Raw genomic sequence first — 18379 nt, 5'->3', positions numbered from 1 at the left:
AATGAGGTTCAAGAGAGAGGAATAGTCCTCACTAAGCATGTCACCCCTATTTAGCACCTTTTCCAGGATGGCAGCCACTATTGTTTTATTATGTCTCTGATCAGCTGTCACTATTCATAAAGTAATCACTGCCATTAACACATCACGCCTCAAGCCATCTGCTGCAGCATGGCACACACAGAGCTGTTGGTTGCAAGCAAAGCAGGTGTCACCTAAAAATGACAGTACCACAGTAAAGGTGGGAGGTCATCATGGTGAAAGAGGATATGTCACGTCAAGTAACTCTATTTTTTGATGTATTATAGTGCAATGAGCAATAGTATTTCTTGCTCAATTTGCAGAGGCTAAAATTAAAACTTCTTATTTGAGATACTTTTTTTCAATATTGGTAAGTCATGGAGACAAAAAATGTCATTGAAGTTCTTAAAACAATAGCATCTAGATTGTGAATGAACTCTTGCATTAAATTTGCAGTCAAGTTTAAAGCATTCTTGAAGAGATCTGATCCATCAAACCTTTATTTGACAAGTGTTTATTGAGCACATATTAAGTGACACTGACATGTGGCTGGCCCACCCGAAATATACAGTTGCTACGTAAAACAAAAATCACAAGTAATGTGTACAGTGGAGATTCCTGATCCCAGCTGCATTTTTGACCCTTGGTCAGTCCCTAACACTTATCTTGATTTTGGATAATTTTTTGGATAGTTTTCAGTTTTAACAGGATCCATATTGATTGGATTTTCTGTGGATGTGTTGGAAAATAAGCTTGCATTGGAAAAATACAATGATTTCATAAAGTCTGTTAAGAAGGACAATATCTTTATAGGACAATTAGTTCTCTTGACCACCTTCATTGTAAAGGGGCTTTATATTTATACAACTGAGAGAGGAGATAGGAATTTAATTGAAGATCTTAAATGCTGATAGAAAGTGGGACAAGGGATCATAATTGGGTTCAACTATCTTTCTAGCCCCTTCCCCTCCTGCATATACACTGGAATTGCATCCTTAGCTTAACTTCAGAAAATTCATGTATTTATCCTTGGCAAATATACACACTTATACATCTATATGTATATGTAAAAAATTAACTAGGGTAGTTAATAATTCTACCCTCCATTTTATTGCATGAGTTTCTGCTCTTTTCCTGGGAGTGAGAAGTATTGGATGAGGGTTTGGATCTTCTAGCCCATCAGTTACTCTTAGCAACATCACCCATCCTTTCCTACTGGTGATGAGAGCATCTTGCTGCATGGGTGGTGGTTCTCAGGTGTATACAACAAGTACTCTTCTCCATGATGCACATGTCCACACATCCTGTATGCTACTGCTGGTTTAAGGGATTTTCAAGGGTCAATTCAATAGTACATTTAGAAATTAACTTCTGTGAAACATGCTACTCAATTACAAACCAATTGAGGAATGCTACATAACCCCAAAGTCTATAGAAAGCAAAGATATCCATCTTCTATTGATATAGAAGATATCTATAAGATATCTATATAGGGATCTCTCAACTACTTTTGAATCCAACTTTCTTTTGAGAATCAAAAATCTCAGGCTCTCTCCCTATCCCTGAAGATTTATAGAATCATCTGTTGTAACCAAAAAAATAAAATCGAGCTTGAATTTTTGTGCATTCAGAAAAATGTCTTTTATTATTTTTTTCAAATTCTATAATGATCTATATGCTTTTCAAAATGGGTCCCCTTTCTCCCTGGGGATTATGATATGCCCAAGCATAAGAGGCATTTTAACTTTAAGGATGATATTTGTGAATCTGGGATGCATGCTTTTCAAGATACCAGTGAAGCAGCAGAGGATGAGCAAGCAGAAGTGTCTCCTGATGACTGATGGCCCTTTCTTTTTTTTTTCTTTTTTTTTTTTGAGATGGAGTCCCAGCTCGGTCACCCAGGCTGGAGTGCAGTTGTGCAAGCTCAGCTAACTGCAACCTCTGCCTCCCAGGCTCAAGTGATTCTCCTGCCTCAGCCTCCTGAGTAGCTGGGATTACAGGTGCCCACCATCACGCCCAGCTTATTTTTGTATTTTTAGTAGAGACGAGGTTTCACCATGTTGGCCAGACTGGTCTCGAACTCCTGACCTCAAGTGATCTGCCTGCCTCGGCCTCCCCAAGTGCTGGGATTACAGGCATGAGCCACCGCACCTGGCCTGACAGATGGCCCTTTCTAAGGAGACTGAGGTGGTACATTTGTGATTACCAGATACGATAGAGTTGATATTGACCGTTGCACTAGTGACTTAATAGTTTTTATAAAAAGCCCCAAAATTGTTTGATATTTCATTTGCATCAAAATGTTGTAGCTCAAATGGCTTTATCAGATTGGCTCCTTAAAATATCATGTGCCCTTGTTCTAGGCGCAGAAGGAACACAAAGACAAAGACAAATGGTTCTTGGGTCCTGCCCTCAAGGCACTTACAGTCCAGTTTCAGTTTTAGAAGTTCAACCAAGAACATGGCTAATGGCTGGTAGAGATTGTACTGACTATTATACCACTTCTCCTAAAATATTATTTTGGTTGAAATAATAAAATGTAGATTCTAAACAAAATAAAATAATATTTTACTGCATTTTTCTGTGAAAGAAATGGGGGAATCTTGGGATTTCAAGATAATCCAACAAGCTGAGTAGGGCTGGCCATAGGTTTGGAACTCATGGAGATCACAGTGGAAACCCAGGAAACATTCTCCTGAGGGCTGCGTCTCCATTAATGTTTTCTGCCTAAGGAATGTGCTGGCTCTGGCTCTATGGGTAAACAGGAGGGTGAAGAGGAGGCTGACTGAGTTAAAGACATCAGCAGGTTGGGAACTATTAACACTGAGGATCATCTTTCTGTTTTTATTTTCCAGACAGGGTCTCACTCTGACTCCTAGGCTGGAGTGCATCATGGGGCTCTGCAGCCTCAACCTCCCAGGACCAAGCGGTTCTCCCACCACAGCCCCTCGAGTAGCTGGAACCACAAATATTCATCACCCCACCTGGCTAACTTTTTCGTTTTTATTTTTTATAGAGACAAGTTCTCCCTAAGTTGCCTAGGTGAGTCTTGAACTCTTAGGCTGTAGTCATCCTCTGGCCTTGGGCTCCCAAAGTGCTGAGATTACAGGTGTGAGCCACTGCACCTGGCAGTTGAAGATTATATGCGGATCACCTAGGTCAGGAGTTGGAGACCAGCCTGACCAACATGGTGAAACCCCAGGGGCTTTACTAAAAATACAAAAAAAAAAAATAGCTGGGCGTGGTGGTGGGCACCTGTAATCCCCCCTTCTCGGGGGTCTGAGGCAGGAGAATCACTTGAACCAGGGAGGCAGAGGTTGCAGTGAGCCAAGATCACACCACTGCACTCCAGCCTGGGCGACAAGAGCGAGACTCCGTCTCAAAAACAAAACAAAACAAACAAACAAAAAAAAAAAAACAGAAAAAAAAAAGACGGTTATAATGGGACCATATTTTTACCATCCCATTTATATGTTTAGGTATGTTTAGATACACAAATACCATGGTGTGACCATTGTCTACATCATTCAGTACAGAAATATTTGTACGGATCTGTAATCTGCACAAATCTGTACAAATATTAGCCTGTACAGATTTGTAGCGTAGATGCAGTAAGCCATACCGTGTAGCCTAGGTGTATTGTAGGCTACGCCATCTAGGTTTGTGTGACTACACTTTTTTTTTTTTTTTTTGAGATGGCGTTTTGCTCTTGTTGCCCCCAGGCTGGAGTGCAGTGGCATGATCTCGCCTCACCACAACCTCCGCCTCCCAGGTTCAAACAATTCTCCTGCCTCAGCCTCCTGAGTAGCTGGGATTATAGGCATGTGCCACCATGCCTGACTAATTTTGTATTTTTAGTAGAGACGGGGTTTCTTCATGTTGAGGCTGGTCTCGAACTTCTGACCTCAGGTGATCCACCTGCCTCGGCCTCGCAAAGTGCTGGGATTACAGGCATGAGCCACCACGCCTGGCCGTATAGCTACACTTTTTGATGTTCACACAATGACAACAAAATCACATAACATTTCATGTCTCAGAATGTTTCGCAATCATTAAGTGACTCATGATTGCACTTAATCTCTCTGGTCTGTAAAATAAAGACAACCAGAAGACCTACTCCAAAGGATTGTTGGGGTGATAATATAATGCTTAAAATTAATACTATAAAATAACGTAATACAAAATATTTATGATATTTATAAATACAGACATAAAAATATAGTTTTACTTATGATAATATTTCTTTTTTTTCTTTTTTTGAGACAGAGTCTTGCTGTTACCCCGGCTGGAGTGCAGAGGAGCGATGTCGGCTCACTGCAACCCCTGCCTCCTGGGCTCAAGTGATTCTCCTGCCTCAGCCTGCCGGGTAGCTGGGATTACAGGAGCCCACCACCATGCCCAGCTAATAGTTTTTGTATTTTTAGTAGAGACAGGTTTTCACCTTGTTGGCCAGGCTGGTCTTGAACTCCTGACCTCAAGTATCCTCCCACCTCGACCTCCCCAAGTGCTAGTATTACAGGCATGAGCCACTGTGCCCGGCCTACTTATTATGATACTTCTAAGCGTGATAAAGCACTTATACGTCTAGCACACAACAAATCCTCAATAAATGTAATGTACGAATGTGGCAGATTAAGAGAAAAAGCCAATGAAATAAAGCTGCAATACTTGCATTTAGAAAATACTATAGGAATAGGACAGAAGGCTTGGCTGACTGAAAGGAGGAATATATTAAAGGAAATGTCTTAAGAGTAGGTGACATTTGAATTGGCTAGTGAAAGAGAGAGAGAATAGCTTGCTAGGGGAAGTATGAAGAGCAACGTTTTGGACCATGAAAGGGAAGGAACCAACTGCTTTCTTCCTTCATTCCTCCCACTGAAGTGTTTTTCTCAGTTTGTCTTAAATCTCACTTTATGGGTTCTTCAAACAATTTGCCCATTTTTGTGTTTACCTGAGTATCAGATCTGTCACGTAGATTTTCTTTATGGAGACTCACACATTTAAAAAAGACTCTCATAAACATCATTGTTTAGTATTAGTATAGTTAATCATTTTATACCTTAGGCTTACAATATAATGATTTTAAGGTTTTACTCATCCAAAATCAACTTCTCCAGCCTCCCTTACTATTAACTCACTCTTTGTATTTAATTTATTATTCAGTTTTCTATTTCTTTGGACTGAGTGGGCATGGGAAATAGAATGGGAGAGGAAGCACGTAATTAGAAAATATTGTACAAAGCTGCTGGCTATTTTATGTAGAAAATGAAATTTGAGACCTCAGGATGCAAAATTAATATGTAAGAATTTCATCACTTTGTTAGAAGATGCAATCGGAGTTCATCCAATATACTGTCAGAGACTTGGTGGATATTTGTCAATTTTGTTTGTTATTCAGGAGGAATACCTGGATTTTCTCTGAGGGAGTCATCCCTGCTTGGTCTCGGTCTACGTGGTTTATGTGGTGCTTTGCCAAGTCCACTCCCTATCCACCTTCCAGTCTTAAGCAGGGGGAATAGCTCAAGCTCAGCCACTCAGGCTTTCCCTTCCGGGAAGCTGAATTCCGAGTGGTGAGACACAAAAGTGGGAATATGCTTGGAACAGATTCTTCCTGTGAGCAGAACCTTGAAGAGGCTGTTTATTCATTCCTGCTACCTGGAGCCCTGAAGCTGTCTGGTTCCCATCTTTGTTCTGTCACGATCTGAGCGTCCAGCTTTTGGTTTCTCTGAGCCGCTCCATATCCTTCCAATCATTTTCCTCTTTTCTTTTGCTTCATTTAGTCAGAGTTTAACTGATAGTCTAAGTGATAGAATAAAAATGTGAACACAGAAAAAAATATCACTAGATGACAGCTGGGATTACTAGACAGCATTTTCTCACTGGACATGTGTTTTGAAAGCACATACCAGCACCAGGCACTGTTCTAGGCACTTGAGTCAGTGACAAACAAAACAAAATATTGAGAACAATAGATGTGGCTGGGCACGGATTCACAGGCTCGTGCCTGTAATCGCAGCATGTTGGGAGGCCAAGGCGGGGGGATCGCCTGAGCCCAGGAGTTTGAGAACAATAGATGTTCTAACAAATATTTGTTGTTGGGCTTTCAGGAGCTAAATGAATGGGCTAATGACATTTGTTCAACCTTAAGATAATTTTTATATGACCCTCTGTGAGAGGTTCTAATAATTCTTTTTTTAACAAACGAATAAGAATATTAACAACAATCTAGGTAAATATTTCGAAAGAGTTCTTCCTTTGGAAAAAGCAAGCCGAGTGTTGATTTAAATTTCTCAATGATCAAAGTGTTAAAGTAATATGTTTTGAATAGAGCCATCTATAAAACATACCCATATAAACAACAAAACTTGTAAATGTGTAATGGGCAAAAGTAATAAAACTATTGAAATAATGCATTTTCCTCATACCAACTCTATCCATTAATTTTTTACAGTTTTCTACCATGTAACATTACCCTTCATAAAAATGATATTTTAAAATGAGATGGGGTTGGTAAAAGAAACAAGGGGTAATAATGGAAGGAGGATTGCAAAGCTGTGCTCTGCTGGATGAGGGAGAAGGGAAAATAGAATTCATTTGGGCTTTCTGTGAGCCAGAGGCCATGGTCTGTAGCCTTTAAAGGGATGAGCAATGCGCAGAGCCAAGGATTTTTATATCTTTATTTTGATTATTTGTTTCTTTTCTCTAAAGAAATCAAGCACAAGCTATTTAAAATAATGAAAGTCACTTCAATATAATACTTTATAAGCAAATTTGTGAATCTCTCATGTATTAAACATTTAAAAATTCTTCATGCATTCTTGGATGGGTTGTATAAAATCTAAATGTAATATGATGGTATTCTTGCATGAGGCAACTTGGTGCAGTCAGAGGGACATAGATTTGGATTCAGACGGATCTGAGTTCTAATCCTGACTCTGCTCTATTCAAGTTATTTGACCTCTATGTAACTATTTCTTTACCTGAAAAGTAGAGAATATAACTCCTAGCAAGTAGTGGGTACTCAAGATAAGATGGTTTTCTGGCCAGGTGTGGTGGCTCATGCCTGTAATCCTAGCACTTTGGGAGGCTGAGGTGGGTGGATCACCTGAGGTCAAGAGTTCAAGACCGGCCTGGCCAACATGGTGAAACCCCATCTCTATTAAAAATACAAAATTAGCCAGGTGTGGTGGCAGGCACCTGTAATGTCAGCTACTCGGGAGGCTGAGGCAGGAGAATTGCTTGAACCTGGGAGGTGGAGATTGCAGTGAGCCAAGCTCATCATGCCATTGCACTCCAGTCTGGGTGACAGAGCAAGACTCCATTAAAAAAAAAAAAAAAAGATGGTTTTCTTCCACTGCCTTCATCCTTCATTCTGATAATACTTCAAATTATGAAAGATTAGCTTATTTGCAACTAGAGGCCATTACAGTATTATTAAGAGACCCACTCAAAATGCTTAATATCATTTGATATTATGTGTCAACTAAGTAAAAATGTACATGCTTGCAATTCCTAAAAATGAAATAAATAAAAGGTTGAAATTTTTACACTTACATTAAAATGAGAATCCATACTGTAGCATAATTTTGGAAAATGGAATTATCTGGGATATGAATGCTTTATTTCTCCATTTATTCAACAAACCCCGAGCACCTGTTAAACTCTTGGTCCCATGATAGGCATTTAGAATACAAAGATAAATCTTTGTATTCTAATACAAAAGAATACAAACATGATTCTGAATTTCAAAAAGTTACTTCACCCTCTTCCATGGTGAAGACCACAAGCAGAGAATTAAACGCAGAAATGTAGGATGGAGTGCCTTATGGGAACAATGGGGAGGGTCACCTCATTGGTGAGTGTGGGGTGTCAGGGGACACGGGAGTTTTCCAGCAGAGGTGGTGGTGAAGGTATGTATGTCAAGCCTTAGGGAATGAGTTGAAGTTATCTAGGTGGATTAGGTGGGGGAGACTAGAGTAAGAGGACATTCCAGAGAGTGAAGCAGGAAAATCAGAGGGAGATGAACCCACATGGTATGTGTACGTGTGTGTGAGGTGTGTGTGTGTGTGTGGGGGGGGGGGGGTAAGAAAGTCCCAGCAATCAATGTTATGCTGCACAGAGCTAGAGGTAGGGGCAATGAGAGTGATGCTACTGGAGAGGCAGGCAGGGGCCAGTTCATGGGTGTTTTCTTTCCCAGGCCAAATTGCTTAAGCTTTATGCAGAAGGACAAACGATGGCTTGGGCACAGCTGAAATACCTCTGCTCACACCTGTGTGAAGAATAACAATTAGGGTGGTAAAGCCCATTAGGAAATGGGTAATGTAGTCTGTGGTCCGGGGCCAGGCTGTAAGGGCTTGAAGGAGGTCAGGTTCACTGGGACACAGAACAGTGGGAGGGCTGGGTGGTTGGTGGCAGATAGGGGTGAGCTCAGGCGCAGAAGGAAGAGAGAGAATCCAGGCTGACTCTCAGCTCTGGAGTGTGGTACCTGACGTGGTGCCACCATCCAAGATAGGGAATACATGGACATGAATAAGGGTTATGGTCCAAGTTTAGGCATTCAGTGAAATCAAACTGTGAGTATCTTAAGAATTGGGCTGACTGTGGGTTTTTCAATACCTTGGTGAAATTTTCTTAAAGGGAGCTGCATTGACCACTTCTCCTGGTGCATGCAGAAGGCCTACTATGGAGTGACCATGGAGATGATAAGACAAAAATAAGCTTTCACTCTGCTCCTTAGTAGCTCTGGGATAGTGGGCAAGTCACTTTAGCACTCCAGATTTCTTGTCCCTCATTGAGAGAATAAGTAGGTTTGACAAATAACCTCTAGTTAAACAACTAGTCTTATTTGGTTCACTAAAACCATGTAATGTGGTTCTCCTTCCCCATTCGTTGGTTAACAGTAAACACCCCCCACCCCCCGACACACTGTGCAAAAGTTTCCATCTCCCAAATGTATGAGGCATTTGATATTTGATGTCATAAACGGGTTTTTCTTAACTCCTATGAATATTCTTAGCTCCTTCTCGTCAGGAATCGCTTGCAGCTCTTAGATGATGTGAATCACCTCCAAAGCATTTGTTTTCCAACATTCAAATGCATTTTTTGAAAACGAACATCAGCTGTTAACCAGAGCTTTCCCAGGTGCAGCAGAAACCCTCTTCCACAAGGCTTTACCTCCCTTCCCTACTCAGTAAACTGCCCAATCCAAACAGGGGGCCACTTCTGGGGCAGTAGCTTCTGACATGAAAGAATGCATTCAAGTAAAACAATGTGTTTTTCAAATTAGCACACATAACAAAAAAATATGTATTTACTTAGTACGCCTTAATGGCTTTCGAAGAGCCATTAGGCTCAACTGAGTGAATATTCCGTGTATTACCAAAATATGCACAATGTATCCCCAAACAGCCATTTTACCTGTAAATATAACAAGACAAGCTCATTTCTCTTTGAATTTTCCTTTGCTCCTTTCTAAGTAATTTTCTTAGCCCATTTGAGAGCAAAGGGAGACATTTTTTCAAGGTTTGGGTGTTTGCTTGCTTCATTCCAAAGTTCAGGGTATAACTGAGAAGTGTGTTCATCTACTGTTGAGTGGCCTAAACGAGGGAGCATTCTATCTGGTTAAGACCTGCTAAAGTTTCCTTATTAACAGAGACACCAGCAAAGAGTAAGTAGCCTAAGGAGATTAATGTAAAACGTCTGCAGGATAGAAAAATTGCTTTAGAAACAAAATAATACACCCTCTACCCCCCATGAATTAGTACTTGAGGCACTTTAATTGGACAAACTCAGTGTTTAGATCAGGAGTCTGTCCAATTGCTATCTGTGACCAGAGGAAGCAGAAGCAAAGGGGTTAATAGTTGCTGACAATTTTTTTTAAACAAGCAGTTTTATTGCAGAAATGGGAGTTGAACCGGAACATTCACAATCAGAATGAAAGGGCAGGCAGGCAGATCTGGAAAACTCACCATTGTATGTGAAAAGGAAAGTTTTCATGGATTTTAGAGAGGCCAAAGAAAAGGGCTTATTTTATATTTGAGAATATAGTTTAATTTAGATTTTTAAGGACCAGTCACCCAACATTGGAAATCCATATATAATTCTCTGGAGAAATGCAGCAATGCCTCCATTTGATCATGGTAAGGAAAGCATTCATATCTGACAATACCTTATGCAATGCTTATAAGACATATGTCTCTTGGTGGTTTCATGAGAAGTATGTGCAATTTAATGTGTTGACCTTTATTTCTAAAGAATGATGTTGTTTACCTACTATCTTAGAGATTATTGTTCCACCTTGAACAGTGAAGGTGAAAGGGTACCAATCAGCCAGTGTGTATCTTCTGACAATTTCCAGATTTTTATCTAGAGACATCCGGCAGCAGAGAATCATTCATGACTGGCATGTTATAGTAAAAAGAACACTGCACTTGGGAGTTAGAAGATAGAATTCAAAGTCTCAGCTGGCACCTGTAATCCCAGCTACTTGGGAGGCTGAGGCACAAGAATCACTTGAACCTGGGAGGTGGAGGTTGCAGTGAGCCGAGATCACGCCACTGCACCCCAGCCTGGGAGACAGAGCAAGACTCTGTCTCAAAAAAAAAAAATTACATGGCCATGGGGAAATAGTTTCTTCCAATAGTTCGCAAACATTACTGTACAACGAAACCGTCTGTTGAGCGTTATATATGCACATATACACCTGGACCATCCTCCTGAAATTCTAGCTCAGTAGGTCAGAGATTGGTCTCTATATTGTCTAAAAGCAGCCGGGGTCAATAACTACTAATACATCCAACACACTTGAGTGTCCTCATTTGTAAAATGGAAACAACATTTTCTATTCAGCGTAGAGGATTGTTGCAAAGACTAAATACAATGATACATTTAAGACACTAGTGCAATGCTTAGAAGAGGGTCCCTTATTTTTCTTCCAATGGGCCATGGTTGTTCTAGTTCAGAGCTCCTCAAAGTGAATTCTAAGGAGCAATAACCCCACGAGATGGTCTATGGAAAAACTGTGTACCATCAATCATATTTGGCAGCTGCACATTACATTCCCTTCCAGACTGTTAATGGGACCATTAGCACCTTAAAGTTTCTGAAATAACCTGACAAAAAGGAACTGGCTAAGTTGGTTGAACTCAGTGTTTCTCAAACTTATTTAACCACCCAATTCTTTCTTCAAGTGGCAATTATTTATTGATGTTTGATGGAACATGCTTTAGTGAACACTCCTCTTTATGATCTCTAACTAATGTCCTACCTTTCTATAACCTCCCTCAAGGAATTTGCTGCTTGTTTTTTGTCCGACTGAGACCCAGCCTTTCTGATTATCTTGAAGGATATCTGCTCTTTTCTTGAACTGCTAGTTTAAATGGACTCTCATATTGAACATGATTCTGTTTAAGTACTGTAGTTTTTACTTTAACTAAGGTAGTTATGAGGGTAGAACACAAATGATCTAGAAAAAATTAAACCATTAATTTAGAAATAAAATTAATACCTAAATAGTAGAAATTCACAAGTCCATGGCTGTTAAATAAAGGGAAGACAATTACATTTTGAGAGCTCCTACTTTGCCCTTGAAACCAGCGGAATGGGATAAAATTTAGAAATGCAAATTATGCTTTGAGCTATATTAATCTAACAATCTAAAATAGGTGGTAGAAATGGATATAGATGCAGTAAAAAATTTGAGGAGTCTTGAGGATGCACTATTTCTCTTAAGTCAACAATTTAAGAGCTTTTGGGAAGTTGAATATAATCATGTAGACTTTTTGGTGACCTCATTTGCCTGGGCTGTACTCTTAAAGAAAGTAGAATAAATGGCTTCTAATGTGTCCTTCTGGGAATGAAAAGCAAAACGGCAAAGTGTACCTCTGATTGAGGTGTATTTGTAAAAGAATCACCTAGTCATTCAAGCAGAAGAGGACACAGGCATAGACACATGGTCTTGGGATGGATGAATAGACATCATGGGTAGGGATGGAGAGATGATGTGGAAAGTCAGGCTTGTCAGAGTTCACAGTAAGAATTTGCCTCAGATAACTACTCAGAGGAAAAAATATATATATATTTGCAAGTATCTTGCTTTTACAGGTTTCTGAGATAAAAATCTCAGAAGAACAGCTTTGCTCGTGAGCTTTCCGATATTTCCACTGTGGTCCTGGCCAGAAACACTGTGAGAACACCCTTTCATTTGGTATTTGAGCCCTTCTGCCTCTGTTCCTGGCTGCAGACCAAAAGGAACAAACGCAACTGAACATTTCAGAACCTCAAAATAGTAAACCAAAAACGGTTTGCTCTGCTTTTGGTTTTAAATATGATCGACCCCAAAGCCTTGTTCCAAATGATCTGGGGGATCCATCTCTAATATGGATTACTGGATTTTAGAAACCTTTGGAGGATGGTGTTTTTAAAATAGATAACTAAGAACAAAGAAAACAATCAGTCCAAATGGTTGTAGTACAGGTGTCCGACCACCACAGCAGAGACTAGACTTAATAAACATATTTTACGTTCTAGTGTAAAGTAATTAGAAGAAGGGGATTAGAGTTTGGAGTGGGATATCTGGGCTTGAATGTTGACTTGGTTCATGACTAGCTGAATGTCTATGGCGTATTTCTGAGTCTAAGTTGTTACCTGTGAGTAAAATTAATAATACAAATGAAAAATAATTATACCCATTTTAATTGGCTCATTATGAGGAGCAAAATTATAAAAATACTTCTAAAATTGGAGTGTCCATGATAATATGAAAGTCAGTAAATCCCAGTGATTAGAAATTTGGACTTTACAGTTCAACACACTTAGGTTCATATTTCTGCCCCTCTGCTTTCTAGCTCTGTGGCCCTACATGGGTCACTAAAAATCTTTGACAATCATTTTTACCATCTGTGAAATGGGGTTAGTCTTGTTGGGAGAACGAAATCAAATAATGCATATAAAATATTTGGCACACAGTGAATGCTAGAAAAATTGCTGGCTGTTAATACATGTATAAATGATGATCATGGTGATTTTATATACTCATAATTCTAGGTGCCAGTCCAAATACAGACACATGAGAATGTGGATAGATCCTCGAGTTCTCTCCGAACCTTCCTTCCATGAAGTTATATACTCTATAGAATCAGTGGGTGAGTTGATTTAGGAGAGGTGCCAGTATGAGCCTGGAGTAGCTTACTTGGTCAGATCCAAAATATGGGTTTGGCTAAATATAGGGATCTAGGGGAGAAGGTGGAAAACGCTTGCTGGGCCAATGCCAAGTATGAAGCAATGCTGACCTTGGCAATTTTTAGCATCCAATTTTCACCCGTTAAGAGAGGAAGGTTAAAAGGTATAAATAAATGCAAAGGCCATAATAAAATCATTGTGGAATTAAAACATTAAGCCCATGGGCTCTTAATTATAAAATAGCAATATATTGTTTACAAACGTTCTTATATTAGGGACTTAGGGATTTCACAGGATGCTTTTTTTCTTTTCTTTTCTTTTCAGGGACAGCATCACTTTTGCTCTGCTGCTCAGGCTGGAGGGCAGCAGCATGACCTTGGCTCACTGCAGCCTCCACCTCCTGGGCTCAAGCAATTCTCCCACCTCAGCCTCCTGAATAGCTGGAGTCTCAATATGTTGCCCAGGCTGGTCTCAAACTCCTACCTCAACTGATCTTCCAACCCCAGCCTTCCAAAGTGTTGGGATTACAGGCACAAGCCACCGTGTCTGGCCAGGATGCTTGTCTTAAAAACAAAGATTTACTACCAGCAACCTGGCTGGCCCAAAATGTGACTGGCAGCTTATTTTATATTCCCCATACACATTAAATGTAGAAAATTAGTAACTATTAGATTTGATTAAATATTAAAATGTCATATTGTTCAGCCAATGAACAAATTGTTTTCAAGCTGCTCTGGGGGGAATGACTAGCCTGCTACCTTTTTATGGTGTTAGTTATATGGTATTTTCTCTTCCTCCCTTCATAGTAAAAATCCTTGAAGGCTTACTCTCCTTGAGAACACTTCCTCATGGGTTTTTGAATCTCCAGCTCTTTCCTCTCCCAGGTACTGAAACCATATTTTTCACAGGCCCCTTTACCTGCCCAAGGGTCAACTTGATTCTTCTCCTTTGCCATTTTGCACCATTGACCATGTTGAAAATCCTTGCACTTGCTGTCTGCTGCACTCTTCTTGTATTTTGTTTTCTTCTGAATTCTGATGAATACTGTTCTGTTGTTTTATGGTGCATGCTCAGGGTTCTGTTCATTATCATCTTCTCTTTGCCTGATCCTTTATCTTTAAGCAAACCCATCCATTCTTGCTACTCCAGTTATCTCCTCTATCCAACGAGCTGGGCCACCATGATTTTTCTCCTAAGCTTGTTATCTTCACCTGGATTTCCTCAAGCTCAGTATATAAAGCCAAAACTCTTCAATTGTCTCTGTAAACCAGCTCTCCTATCCCTTCCCCCTTTGTCTCAGCCATTTGGTTTGTATATGGAAATAAACCTCCTGGTGTTAAAACCTTAAAACTTCAGCATTATCTTTGTCTCTACACTGTTGTTTGACCTCTAGATCCAGGAAATACCCCAGTTTCATTATAAGGCCTGTCAATTTTATCTCACAATGTTTTTCACACTTATAAGCTAGATAGACCGAAGCAAGGGTCGGTGTGCACATTCTCTGTGATGCTCATTCTTATGTTCTCAAGATAGTTGCTTGAACTCTAGCTGCAGCTTCTGCATTTCAGGTAGAAAGGAAGAGGATGATCACAGAATCAAAGGGCATCTGCCAACTGAATCTGCCACCCTTTAAGGGGAGCATTCCTGAAAGCAACATGTAATAATCTTTGCTGACATTGAATTGAGCAGGGTAGTGTCGCATGACCACTCTGATCTACAAGGGAGGCAGAGAAATGGAGTTCAAAAGATCGGGACACAGTGCTGTTTCAATAAATGGGAGTTATATTGGAAAGGACGAAAGTGCAAAATGTTTTGGGGTGGGCAATTGACAGTCTCTACACACCTTTTTTCTTAACTTTCCTATGTTTACTTGAAATAAATTTCCACTGACTTTGAATAAAACACTCCTTGTTTTCCACCATCATCATCTAACTTGACATCTTCACTGTCCTTTTGCTTAGATTTTTACAAAGCCAAGTGGACTCTGTGTGCCTCTACTTCACTGCTACCGAGAGGTGAAGTCAGCTGGGCTTCTGGGTGGGGTGGAGACTTGGAGAACTTTTCTGTCTAGCTAGAGGATTATAAACACACCAATCAGCACTCTGTAGAAATGCACCAATCAGCGCTCTGTGTCTAGCTAAAGGTTTGTAAACGCACCAATCAGCACTCTGTAAAACGGACCAATCAGCACTCTGTAAAATGGACCAATCAGCAGGACATGGGCAGGGCCAAAAAAGGGAATAAAAGCTGGCCACCTGCACCAGTAGCGGCAACTCCCTCAGGTCCCCTTCCATGCTGTTGAGTTTTGTTGTTTCGCTCTTTGCAATAAATCTTACTGCTGTTCACTCTTTGGGTCCGCACTGCCTTTATGAGCTGTAACACTCAAACTGCGAAGGTCTGTGGCTTCACTCCTGAAGTCAGTGAGACCATGAACCCACCAGCAGGAAGAAATTGGACACATCTGAAGAAACAAACTCCAGACACACCATCTTTAAGAGCTGTAACACTCACTGCAAAAGTCCGCGACTTCATTCTTGAAGTCAGCGAGACCAAGAACCCACAGGAAGGAATAAATTCCAGACACACTACTACTGTCCCTGTTCATTAATCTATTTATTCGGCAAGAAAATATTGATAACAGGCACTGTCCTGTGTACTAGAGATGGACAGAATCATGACTTTTGGCTTCAGGGCCTCACAGTTCAGTTGGAGAGAGCAACATGGCACCAGTTGATTCCAGGGCAACACAATTAGTGACATAACAGAGACAGATGAAAGGGATTGCAGAAGCAGAGAGAGCATCCTGACTAATTGAATCTGCAAATGGTGAAGAAGCCCTTCCAGGGGTGATGCTGTGAGCTGAATTGTGTATTAGTAGGAATTTCTCGGTTCAACACACAGAGAAATAACAAGTTTTCTGTTGTAAACTATTCCTTACTAATTAAAAACAAAGTGGTTATATTCTTGACCTGACTCTGAATTTAATTTTTTAAGAATGTAATCATAAGTGAAGCAACTTTAAATATAGCATTATAGGGCACAGTATTGATAAATGAGAGGAAAACTTTTTCTTAAAGAGTGTACCACTCACTTACCATGCCCTGAAATTAACTGAGAACTCATTTGTCAAGAGAGCACCTACCCTATAGAGAATTCTTCCAATTAACATCAAAAGCGATCATTCTTAACCTCTCATGCATTAAGAAAATCTTGTCTGCACCCAATGTTCTGTTCATAATCAATGAAGCCCCTTATGTATGTTATTGCAAATTTATCACCTTGTATATTACTAAAATGGATGAATTAATAAATGAATCTGCTGTAGGTCCAGAAGCCAGATTTATCTGTTGTCTCCTGGTTCTCATGGGATTTTCCTTTGGTCTCCAAGACATTTCACTCTGCACTTTCTCATAGTTTGGGATATTTATTGATAGCTACTGACAGTATGAGTTGGTACTCATAGACTCACCATGGCTATATCAGAAAAGTGGTTTTGAGGGGGATTAGTTAAATTCTAAAAATGTCAGCCAAGTGACTCTCAGGCTATGCTAAAAAGGCAGTGCAAGTGTTGTGCTATATCAGTTCTAACAGTATCATATTGCTATAAAAAGCATACATCAAGATAAATGATGCTTAACATTGGTGAGGTCATGGTAAGCTTGACACATTCATAAACATTAGTTAAAGAGTAAAATAGTGCAACATTCCTGGAGGCCAATCTCATGATATGAAATTAGAATAGATTAGGATATATTCTTAGGATCTGAGCCTTCTTTCCACCTGTAAGGATCTAGGCAAGGCTGGGTGTAGAAGGATGGCCATTGAAGTATTACATAAACTGCAGAATACCCATGAGCTAGAACACTATGTACTAATCAAAATTGGTGCTTTCTGATAATTTTGATTACATGGAAAAGTGCCCACTATGTTCAACGAATAAGAAGAAAAACAGTTGTATCAAAGTCTGATCCATATGTAGGGATACATCTATCACATATGCATACACATCTTTCAAATGATTTGCATCAGGATGCTAACAATAGTCTAAGTTTAGGTGATTTGTATTATCATCTTTAAAGTTCTCTAAATTTTATAAATTTCTAATCCATGCATGAGTTTCACAATTAGAAATAAATTGCTGTTTTTTTTGTTTTGTTTTGTTTTTTTGTTTTTTGGAATGCAGTGGTGCGATTACAGCTCACTGCAGCCTTTACCTCCTGGGCCCGAGTGATACTCCCACCTCAGTCCCATGAGTAGCTGGGACCACAGGTGATATGGTTTGGCCGTGTCCCCACTCAAAATCTCATCTTGAATTGTGGCTCACATAATTCACATTTATTGTGGGAGGGACCTAGTAGGAGGTAGTTGAATCATAGGGGTGGGTATTTTGCATGATGTTCTCATGATAGTGAATAAGTCTCATGAGATCTGATGGTTTTATAAAGGGGAGTTCCTGTGCACATGCTCTCTCTTGTCTGCCGCCATGTAAGATGTGACTTTGCTCCTCTTTTGCCTTCTGCCATGATTATGAGGCCTCCCCAACCATGTGGAACTGTGAGCCAATTAAACCACTTTTCTTTATAAATTGTCTAGCCTTGGGTATATCTTTATTAGCAGCATGAGAACTAATACAAGAAGTACGTGCCACCACACCTTGCTATTTTTTTATTCGTGTAGAGACGGAGTTTTGCCATGTTCAAGCCCAGGCTGGTCTCGAACTCCTGGGCTCAAGTGATCCTCCCACCTTAGACTCTAAAAATTCTGGGATCACAGGTGTGAGACACTTTGCCTGACCAGAAATTAATCACTCTTAAGAGGAAAACTAAAAAGGACCATGTAGTAGAAGATGAAGAGATTATTTATAGGTATTTTTTATATGTATACATTCTACATGGCTAATTCTCAGACTCATATACCGTGTGAGGTCAATTTCACTAAGGGGCTCAGCACACACTCTGGCCGGGGAGGGTGCTCCAGGCTTTGAGCCTAACTGCCTGCCATCACTCTCTCCCCTCCCATGCCATTCTCCAGGCTGCCATCAGATTTCTCTTTCCAAAGCATAGCTATTGTCCTGTTATTCTCTCTCTGGAAACATTGTTAAAACCTGTTATCCTCTCTGGAAACATTGTTAAAACCTTCCCAATTGTGCACAGAATACATTCTCCCCCTCCGCTTGGCTCCA

The 18379-nt window shown here is 40.1% G+C and overlaps 2 long non-coding RNA genes and 1 other non-coding gene across 3 annotated transcripts in view; 2 read left to right on the top strand and 1 right to left on the bottom strand.

Annotated features, from left to right (window-relative positions):
• The window catches only part of LOC112268156 (uncharacterized), a 236909-nt gene that overhangs the window by 71351 nt on the left and 147179 nt on the right, over window positions 1-18379 (bottom strand). The window lies entirely within an intron of this gene.
• NR2F2-AS1 (NR2F2 antisense RNA 1) overlaps window positions 1-18379 on the top strand; it is a 200002-nt gene that overhangs the window by 171369 nt on the left and 10254 nt on the right. The gene's annotated exons all lie outside the window — the stretch shown is intronic.
• On the top strand, window positions 2971-16530 carry LOC124903583 (uncharacterized). Its single transcript, XR_007064800.1, has 2 exons — window positions 2971-3060; window positions 13063-16530. It is a non-coding gene; the product is annotated as an uncharacterized LOC124903583 (transcript).

This window comes from Homo sapiens, chromosome 15 (genome assembly GCF_000001405.40).
Source record: "Homo sapiens chromosome 15, GRCh38.p14 Primary Assembly".
NCBI classification, from domain to species: Eukaryota; Metazoa; Chordata; class Mammalia; order Primates; family Hominidae; genus Homo; species Homo sapiens.
This window is presented reverse-complemented; position numbering and strand designations above follow the sequence as displayed.